At 43.4% G+C, this 10,735-nt stretch overlaps 1 annotated feature.

The window, feature by feature from the left end:
- Positions 408-702: a silencer, noted in NCBI's record as "identical tiled regions #15612 and #8581; HepG2 Repressive non-DNase unmatched - State 7:EnhWF, and K562 Repressive non-DNase unmatched - State 21:Repr". NCBI's record gives its function as "represses a minimal TATA promoter and a strong SV40 promoter by Sharpr-MPRA in HepG2 and K562 cells {active_cell/tissue: HepG2 | K562}" and the evidence as "EXISTENCE:reporter gene assay evidence [ECO:0000049][PMID:27701403]".

The following is a 10,735-nucleotide window of genomic DNA, read 5'->3' as shown; positions in this document are numbered from 1 at the left end:
AGTTGTAATGCAGAATTCGAGTGAGCTCACCTGGTCCCTAGAGGGCATTTTAAAGGACACAAGGGAAATAGTTGAAGAAAATGAAAATGTCATTGGGTTCAAGCCCTCTTTCATGGGGAAGGACAAAGACAGGGATGGGGAAGGTAAAAGGAAGAAGGGGGTGAGCCAAATTCTTCAAGGTAATTTCCTTGAGTATGGGAGAAAAAGGAACGAGTATAAAGATCAGCTGAAGAAATGGAACTCCTTGTTGAGCTTCTTTTAATGGCTCACATCCACAGTAGTCCTGGAGGTGGCCTGTACGATTCAAGGCCTTGGCAGCAGTAAGAAAGAACAGGGCAGTGCCGAGTCCTGCCTCTATCATTGATTTGAGCAAGGGCAGGGTCTTTGCCGGTGTTCTGCAGAGCATCCTTGGGCCAAAGAGGCTCCATGCATTTTTTCGGGACTTTGGATTGTTTGCAGTTTGCCCCATAACTCCCACACATTTGCTTCTTCATGTCCCAAAGCTCTGGCTGCTGCAGCATTCCCATAGGAATGTGGATGCCTGCCAAGCGACCTCATGTGCATTCCATTCATCTCCTTGGCTGGGAGGCAGCAGGGAAGCAAATTGGCTGGTTGCTTAACTGTTTGGGTCCCAAATTCACCCTGAAAGGAATCACCAAGGTTGTTGGACTTTTCCAATAATCATGAAGAAAAAACAGAAGATAAAACAAAAGAGATATTTATTTATTCATATGATCCCATCTGGAAAACAGCTATTTTCAAGTGTAGCTTAATGAAAATCACATCCTTTGGTTTGTTTGAAATCATCTTCCACCAGAAAGGCATTTTGAAGCAATGAGGCTTTGTGAGGTGTGATTCAAAACAATGTGAGTAGTTTTTTTTAAGCAATCACACCAAACTGTAGCTACTCAAATTCAGGTTGTTGCCTTCCAAGTAATCTCAGTGGGCTGTGACCCTGCAATTCCAAGATGCTCCAACCTGTGTAAAATTCCTTTAAGGAAATTACTACACTCTTGCTCTGTTTTGCTTTTTGTTTATCATTCAGTCAGCACATATGGGACACCTCCTGTGTGCCAAGCACTCTGTAAAGCTCTGGGGATAGAGTAATGGGGGAGGCACAGTCTTATTGAATGTTTGACCATGCGAAGCCCCCAGGGGCCAGTGGAAAAAGTTAGTCTGACCTGGATTTGAATCCTGGTTTAGCCTCGTGCAGATTGTGTAATCTCAGGCAACTTTCCTAAACTCTTTGAGTCACAGTGCCCCATTTCTAAAAGGAAGACGGTAAAATCTACTTGATGGGATGTCTTTGAGGAGAAAATCAGAGGAAAATATGTAGTAAGCAGCCTTAGCACAGAAGCTGATATAGAGTAATTGCTCAGAAAATGAGAGCACTTATGATTTTAATTGTTTGAATTACATAGCTAGTTCAACTGTCTTTTTTTTGGACTAGATAGACTCTTACTCTTCGAAAAATTAATCATCCTGTGCATGAGAAATATGCACAAGGTACCAAATTCAAAGTATACAAAAATTAGATGATGACAAGAATATCTTCTCCCTGTCCTTACTCCTTGCCATTAGTTCTCCTCACTAGAAAGAATACAAGCAAGTTCTTGTATATTTCCAGATTTAACTGTATTTCTCAGAGATCGGTCCATAGCAACACTTAGTGCTCATTCTTTTTTTTCTTTTTTCAGCGAATTGAGGTATAATTGACAAATAATGTTGTATATATTTAAAGGGAACAATGTGATGATTTGACATACGTATATATTGTAAAATGATTACCAGAATCAAGTTAGTTAATGCATCATCATCTCACATAGTTACCATTTGTGCGTATGTGGTAAGAACACTTATGGACTACTCTACTTGCAAATTTCAAGTGTACAATACAATAGTATAAACTGTAGTCACCATGTTGTATGTTACACCTCCACAATGTATTCGTCTTATAACTGAAAGTTTGTACTCTTTGACCAACATCTCCCCATTTCCCCCACCCCCCCAGCCTTTGGCAACCATCCTTCTACTCTGTTTGTATGAGTTTGACCTTTTCAGATTTCACATATAAGTGGAATCATACAATATTTGCCTTTCTGTTTCTGGCTTATTTCACTTAACATAATGCCCTCCAGGTTAATCCACACTGTCAGGAATGGCAGAATTTTTTTCTTCTTTATGGCCGGATAATATTTCATTGTCTATATATACCACTTTTTCTTTATCCATTTGTTTCCATGTCTTGGCAATTTGAATAATGCTGCAACGAACATAGGAGTGCAGAGAGACACTGATCTAACTTCGTTCAGATATATACCCAGAAGTGGAATTGCTGGATCACATGGTAGTTCTAGTTTTAGTTTTTTGAGGAACCTCCATATTGTTTTCCATAATGGCTGTACTAATTTACATTCCCTCCCACTGTATACAAGGATTCCTCTTCCTCCACATCCTCAACAACACTTACTTCATCTTTTTGATAATAGCCATCCTAACAGGTGTGAGGTGACATCTCACTGTAGTTTTGACTTGCATGTCCCTGATGATTAGTGATACTGAGTACTTTTTCATGTACCTGTTAGCCATTTGTATGTCTCCTTTGGAAAAGTATCAATTCAAGTTCTTTGTAACACTTTTTAGAAGAGATTATTTGGGATTTCTTTGCTATTGAGTTGCATGAATATCTTGTATATTTTAGGTATTTACCCCTTATCAGATATATGACTTGAAAATATTTTTTGCTCATTCCATAGGTTGCCTTTTCATTTTGTTGTTTCCTTTGCTGTGCAGAAATTTTTTTGTTTGATGTAGTCCCACTTATTTGTTTTTGCTTTTGTTGCCTTTACTTTTGGTGTCATACGTAAAAATATCGTTACTAAGGCCAGTGTCAAGAAGCTTTTTCTCTGTTCTTTTTTATTTTTTCTAGGAGTTTTATGATTTCAGGTCTTATATTTAAGTCTTTAATCCATTTTGAGTTAATTTTTGTGCTGGTGTAAGATAAAGATTCTATTTCTTTCTCTTTTTTTGCATATCAATATCTAGCTTTCCTAACTTTATTTATGGAGGAGACTTTCCTTTCCCTATTTTGTAATCTTGGTGCCCTCATCAAATAATAGTTGACCATATATGCATGCGTTTCTAGTCTCTCTATTCTGTTCCATTAGTCTGTGTCTGCTTTTATGCCAGAACCACACTGTTTTGATTACTATAGCTTTGTTATACAGTTTAAAATCAGGAAGTATGATGCTTCTGATTTTATTCTTCTTTCTTAAGATTACTTTGGTTATTTGGGGTCTTTTGTGGTTCTATGTGAGTATTGTTTTTTTTTTTCTATTTCTGTAAACAACACCATTGGAATTTTGATAAGGACTGCTTTGAATCTATAAATCACTTTGGGTAGTTGATCATTCTTAACTGCCTCATACTTTTTAAATGATTATGTGGTAGTCCATTGACTGAATGTGTCATAATTGATTTAGCCACTTCCCTATCAATAAACATTTAAGTTTTTTCTAATCTTTCACCATGACAACAATAAAGCAAAGCCCATTCTTGTGCTTAGCTTTGACTACTTCTAGTCAAAGAATGGCAAACTAAAGAAATACAACAGGCTTCTTAAGGCAGCTCCTGGCAATGTCACTGGAATTGGGTGACTGCTTGAAGCAGAAAATGCTGATCTGATTGGATACATTCTGAATGTTTTCTCAAAAAACATCTCATTATTCTATTCCTGGAATATTGATACCACCCTCAAATGCTACTTATTTGAAAAGTGAGCCAGGCACAGTGGCTCATTCCTATGATCCCAGCACTTTGAGAGTCGAAGGCAGGAGGATCACTTGAGGTCAGGAGTTCAAGACCAGCTTGGGTACATACTGAGACCCTGTCTCTACCAAAAAAAAAAAAAAAAAAGAAAGAAAAAAAGAAAAAAATGCAGAATCTATGTAATAATAATACAGAATGGTGACATTTTAGTCCAGACAGAACTGCCATGAAACCCCTCCAGGACGTATAATACATAGACAAATCTTTCTTTCGCTGGCAGAAAAGAGTCAAGGATGCAGAGATTTCAGACAGCCACTCTAGAAGCAGCTGTTAAGAAGATTCCCACTCTAATTTGCTGCCACAGCTTGAAACAGTGAAATGTATTAAAATGTGCCACATCAGTTAACATGGGTTCAGTTAGATGGAGGTTGCCAGTTTGGAAGGAGGGCAAATGTTCCTTGGTGGCCATCTTTGCTGATGCCCAGGACTGCACAGGCTGTGTGTGGAGCTCAATCAGAGAGAACTTATACATGAGGTTCTGGCACAATCCAGGTACAAATAAGACCCAGGGATTAGCTTTCCTGGATGAATAATTATTTCTGAATCATGGGAAAGGCACACGTGGAAAGGAGGCAGGGGGATGGAAGATGGAAGTCTTTCTAAGAAGTCTCCGCTGTCAGAGGCACCAGTCCTCAAATGAGCTCCATGCAAATGAAAACCGGTCCCAACAGCATCTTGAGCCAAAGAAAATTCTTGGTTGGGGTTGAAAAAAATGCCAGATAAATAGTTTCTTCTTGCTTCTCAGCAGGGCCCAGCTATCACTGCAATCCAGATCTGGCCTCTAAGCAGTTCTGGCAGGTTTAGCTTGGACCAGCTGCTGTGATGAAATTGCAATAATTCCAGGTTTCCCTCAAATCTGGACTGAGCCAAAGGCAGTCTAGGCTTCTAGCAACCGCTGACTTCATTGCCTTCTTTCCTGTCCCTCTTCAACTTTCAAGCTTCTGGTTTTTAAATTTTAACTTAGATACGGGTGATAGAGGAAACCTGTTCAGTGCAACCCAGAAGTCTGGAAAATGTTTATTTCAGGTCAATTTAAGAAACCTATATTGAGTACTTAGTGAGTCTATTTAGGTGAGCTGCGTGGTATAACTACTGGCTAACATGGATTGTGTATCCAGTGATACGCCAGGCTTTGTTACAAGCTTCCTACACAGAAGATCTCATTTAATCAACCAACAGCCTATGAGGTAGGAATGATTATCCCTGTATACAAAAGAGATACGTTTAGTCTCTTACCTTAAAACAAACAGCTGGCAAATGGAAGTATCTGGATCTGAACCCAGTGTAGCCTGAATCTCAGGCCTCTACTTGTGCTCGCTATGACACTGGCCATAAGCAAATGAGTCCTTAATTAGAGGTGAGTAAAAGAGACTCGGACAAGAAAAACTAAAGTGAACAAAGGCAGAAAACTGAGACCCACGTGGGAGAAAGTAGAAGTAGGCAGATAAAGAGTGTGGAAAAAACAGTAGAGGCTAGATTCATGCTCATTCTGAGCCCAACCTCTGAAGACCTTGTGGGTCCTGGAAGCCTAGTGGGGAGGTTTCCCCAGAAATCACTTATTTATAAAGAACTTCCAGCCATTAACACAAAGACTGAAGTATTCTGAGAAGTTGTCCAAAACTCTTTGCTCCCAAGAGAAAGGAGAAATCTCTCTGGGTGCGTTCAACATGGAAGTTTTAATGTACTCTAAGAGGTTCAAGATTTCAGACACTAAGTCCCAGGGCACTAAGAGACTTGCAGTGTGACGCATTGAAGTTTAGGGAGGAATGTTTATTGTATTTCTTCTAATTAAAACAGGCTTTCTAGACCAGATGGGTGGCTCACTGCCCCTACTCCTGACCCCTGCCCCATTATGGGCACCCAGGAGAATGGAAGTAGATCTGTTTCTAGAGAATAAAGCATCTTTAACCCAGAAAGGGAAAAGAACTCTGGGCAGAGTACACCTCAGCAACATCCAGCAGTCTGTGTTGGTGAAGAACAGGGGTATGGGTTCATAGTGGAGCCATGGGATCCAGAACCACATGGCATGTCCAGAAGCACACTTTTGAGCAAAGCTGGCCAACAAGTGTCTTCCATTTTTGCCTGTGGCATCTGAGACCGTGTTCTTCGGCTCATCCCGAGGCAGAGGCCCAGAGATACCAGAGGCTGGTGGTAACAAAGGGCTGATATTCAAAATGGTGGAAATGATTCCAGGAATGATTCACCAATGGTTCTGACCTGAGGAAGACTTATCAAAAAAGTAAAGAGGGCTGGGTGTGGTGGCTCACGCCTGTAATCCCAGCACTTTGGGAGGCCAAGGTGGGCGGATCATGAGGTCAGGAGATCAAGACCATCCTGGCTAACACGGTGAAACCCGTCTTTACTAAAAAAATACAAAAAATTAGCCGGGTGTGGTGGCAGGCGCCTGTAGTCCCAGCTACTCGGGAGGCTGAGGCAGAAGAATGGCATGAATCTGGGAGGCAGAGCTTGTAGTGAGCCGAGATTGTGCCACTGCATTCCAGCCTGGGCCACAGAGCAAGACTCTGCATCAAAAAAAAAAAAAAAAAGTAAAGAGAGAAGCAGCATCCCACACCCTCTTCCCTGACTGTGGGTTCTCCCTGGCAGCAGATTCCATCAGGGAAGGGGAGACACTTTTGTTGTTGTTGTTGTTGAGATGGAGTCTTGCTCTGTCACCCAGGCTGGAGTGCAGTGGCACGATCTCGGCTCACTGCAAACTCTGCCTCCCGGATTCACACCATTCTCCTGCCTCAGCCTCCCAAGTAGCTGGGACTACAGGTGCCCGCCACCAAGCCCAGCTAATTTTTTTGTATTTGTAGTAGAGATGGGGTCTCACTGTGTGAGCCAGGATAGTCTCGATCTCCTGACCTCGTGATCTGCCCACCTCGGCCTCCCAAAGTGCTGGGATTACAGGTGTGAGTCACCACGCCCGGCCAACATTTTAATCTGTGAATTATTGTATTGGGAACTTAATGCGTGAGGCATTCTAATAGCCAAGAACCAGCAGAAAATGATGCAGCTGCCCAACTTTGCATCTCAGGTAGGGGAGGGGGAGCCCCCACTGAATAGAGTAAAAAGTACAATGAGAGACAGACAAATATTGGTCTTTTCACAGTAACTTTTGAGACCTACATATCCACATACTGGCTTCATGTTATATGTTTTTTATTTATACTCTGGAACATTTAGTAGGATAAGGGACATGTAGAATGTGATTCACAGGAAAGTGGTGGGCCCTGAGCAAGGACCTGAGTGTGTTTTTGGTCTGAAACTGAGTTACATGATTTGGGGCAAGTAACGGTCTAGCTTTGTCACCCAGGCTGGGGCGCAGTGGTGCAAAGACAGTTCACTTCAGTCTCAAACTTCTGGGCTCAAGTGATCCTTCCACCTCAGCTCCCCAAGTACCTGGGACTGCAGGCATGCACCACCATGCCTTGCTAATTTTTGTATCTTTTTTAGACACAGGGTTTCGCCATGTTTCCCAGGCTGGCCTTGAACTCCTGAGCTCAAGCGATCTGCCCACCTCGGCCTCCCAAATGCTGGGATTGCAGGCATGAGCCAATGCACCTCAGTTTCTTGTCTGCCAAATGGAGTGAAAATAATTATCCTGAATCTTGATATGAATGTTATATATTTCCAAAATCCCAAGCACATTATGTGTGCTAATTAAATGCTAGTTACTACAGTAATAAGGAGAAAAATGTAGACCAAAACATATAAAAATAATCAAAAAGTACCAGATTGTAAGCTCAAGGGCAGAGACTCTGTCTCATTTATCTTTGCACCCCTAGCACACTACAGATTCTTGGCATATAGTAGGCAGCCCCTTGAATGTTTTTTGCATTAAACTGAGCTGATTTGTTGAGTATCACCTATGTGTAGAAATTGTTTCAGTGCTGCTTAGTCTATCAGATAAGCATTTGAGTTATTTAATTCTTCTGAAGATTAGTTTATTTGTAAGACAGAGAAAATGCATCTACTGAGACCAGAGATAATTGGTTAGCTCCCTCAAAACAGTTTTCCCTATTTTCCTTATTGACAGACCCCAATTGTATTCAGTAATCCTATGTCTCCTGTCTCTGTCTCCGGGTAAATCTTCATTCTTTCAGATGAAGCATCCTGATGACCTCATTGCCTTTGCCTGTGATTAGTTTAGGGGTGGCCATGAGGCTCTGTCCTGGCCAAGGAGACATAAGAGGATGTCACTGAAGGCTGCCAAGAAAGGTCTTGTTGCGTCAAAGAAGCGGAAGAATACACATGAGGAGAAATAGCCCCCAAAACAGTCTTCTCTTTTCCACTGGCTATTGTTTGATTGCCTGTGATGGCTGGAACTGAGCAGCCATCTTGAGCCCACGTGGAGAACCACACCAATCTCCTGAGGATGGCGGAGCTGAAAGCTGGGAGAACCTGGGTCCTTGATAGCATCTGAGCCACTGATCTAATCAGCCCTGAGATTCTTGTTACGTAGATGAATTTTCCTTATGGTTTAGGTCAGTTAAGTCAGAGAAAGCAACCTAGATGAGATACTCCTTCATGAGGTTCTTAAATTTGGTTCCCCTCATCTCCCCTTCTGGAAGACCATCTGCCAGGAATATTGCAGGAGGGATTCCTGCCTTGTGTGGGAAACATGGTGGCTCCTTTCAAACTTTGAAATTCTCTGCTTCTGTGTTATTCACAAAGCAACTCTGAAAAGCCATTAGTTGGAGCTTCTTAGGAGAATGAAAGGCAGCATGGAGCCCTGGGAAGCATGCAGGATGTGGAGACAGAAATCCTGAGCTTCATCCTGGAGATTCCATTTTCAGCTCTGCAGCTTGGTCAAATCACATAAGCTCTCATGGCCTCAGTTGTCTTACCTGTAAAATGAGGATAAAAGTAGTCCCTACCTCAGCATAAGGATTAAATGAGAAAGTGTTGACATGCTTTACAATGTGCGCTCCTGTTTACAGACAATTATGCAGAAGAAAAACCCACATAACTAAACAAGGAGCAGAAAAGTAAGGCTTTTATTTATTGTGCTGGAAACAGAGAGATGAAATGGATGGATGTTTGTTGGAAAACAAACCATTTGGGGAAAGTGGTGATCTTCTCTAGAAAGGATTTCATGCCCTCTCCCTACCAGCTTTGCAAATAACACAACCCTTTCCCAGTGGTTCTAAAGGGCTGTTGCAACTGAGAGCAGAGGTGAAAGCCATGGAGTCCCTCGGACGATGACCTACAGCTCTGCCGTCTATTAATAGCTTTTAAGTCCTTAGAGTGCAGCCCAAGCCCCTCCCACCTCAGGGACATGAGAGGGTCACAAGGCTGCCTGATACAGTCTGCAGAAAACTGGTGGTCCCCAGAATTCTCCCAGTTAGGAATTTTTTCTCCCCTAATGGATTGGGCCTGCCTGGGCCTCTTCCCGCAGAGACTCCAGCCTGATCTGTCAGGTTCACATTCAGCAAGCAGTAGTGAACTGTTTTGGCTCCTCAGGCCACTCACTAGCTGTCTTGACACATCTTATCTCATTGCACCATCACAGGAATGAGCCAGAGCCATTGTATTGAAACAGAACCCAGCTCAGAGAGGGGTTGTGGCCTGTTCAAGGTCACACAGAAAGGACCTTTGGTTTTAGGTCTCAATCCGCCTGTCTCCAAGGCCTGTGCTGTAACATTTGTGTTCCATCTTGAACTCTGGGAGACTTCTGGGCCTTCAACAAGACCATTTAAATCCCTCAATCATGTTGGAAAGAACAGTAAGGAGACTGTGGGATGGGGTGAGTAAGGGAGCAAAGACACAGCTGGCCTCACACTTGGACTCGGGGTCAGAAGGCATCGATGTGTGCATTGATACAACTCTGGTGGCCAGGGTGTTGCTGAGCATGTCAGTGTGGGCTCTGGGCGCAGGCAGGGCCCTTGGCCCCTTACTGCATGGTCACATCTGATTGTATCACCTCCATGCTTACAGAGCCTTAGAGACCTTCTGTGATTTCCTCTGTGCAGGACAAAGTCAGGTCCCATAGTTTGACACTCGATGTCCTTCATGACCCAACTCCTGTCCTCCTTTCAAAACTCACTCCCACTCTGAGCCTTCTATTCCCACACAGATCTAGTTACAATTCCCAGGATAGCCATTTTGAGGGCAAGGATCGCATCTGATGACTTTTCAGACTCCTGGAGCTCAGCACAGCATCTGGAGCAGCCATGATGTTCAGGGGCTGCAGGAAAAGCTATCACCCTTGTCAACAGGGCCCAGCAAGTGGAATAGGAGGGATGAGGAGTGGGGTGTGAGGGAGGGCTGTGTACAGGAGAGGAGGCTACAGCAGAGGAAGGCCCAGTCTACAAGGCTGGGTTCTGGAGATCCTGGGCCTTGGGTTGCTTGGCTTTTAAAATGGGCCTGGGACCTGGGCACTCTCTTGGGCATTGGGTCCAGGCTGCTCCAAGGAGGAACCCTTTTACAATGGGCTTAGCACAAAATTAGACAGTGAGCGTCAGTTGTCCTGGGCCTGGATGGCAGTGTACCCCATGGAGGAGTGGCAGCATGAACATTTACAGAGGGCTGAGAAGGGGCCAGGAATCAGGCTGGAATCTGGTGCCCCAGGAAGCACATCCAGAAAGCAGCAAGTCTACCTGAGATGCCATCTTTGCAGACAAAGAATAGGAAGCAGAAAGGGAACCTCTTTGATTGGCCCATTCTGAGAACTAGGATGGTTATAGTTAGTGTCCACCCAGATTGGCTCCCTTTATCACCAACACCTGGAGTGCTCTTATGAGGCTAAGAGGATTTGCAGGGAATGATTGCTCCCACACTCTGCAATGAGAACCTTAAGCAGTTCACGCTGCATTCTAGCATACGGTGTGCGGGGAAGGAGGGGAATTATAAGGGGAGCCAGCTCCTCCCTGGCTCAGGCAGGATTCTCCTCTTTCCAGCTCCT

This window comes from Homo sapiens, chromosome 11 (genome assembly GCF_000001405.40).
Source record: "Homo sapiens chromosome 11, GRCh38.p14 Primary Assembly".
In the NCBI taxonomy this organism is placed as follows: Eukaryota; Metazoa; Chordata; class Mammalia; order Primates; family Hominidae; genus Homo; species Homo sapiens.
Note: the sequence above shows the minus strand (reverse complement) of the source record. Positions and strands in the feature narration are given on the sequence as shown.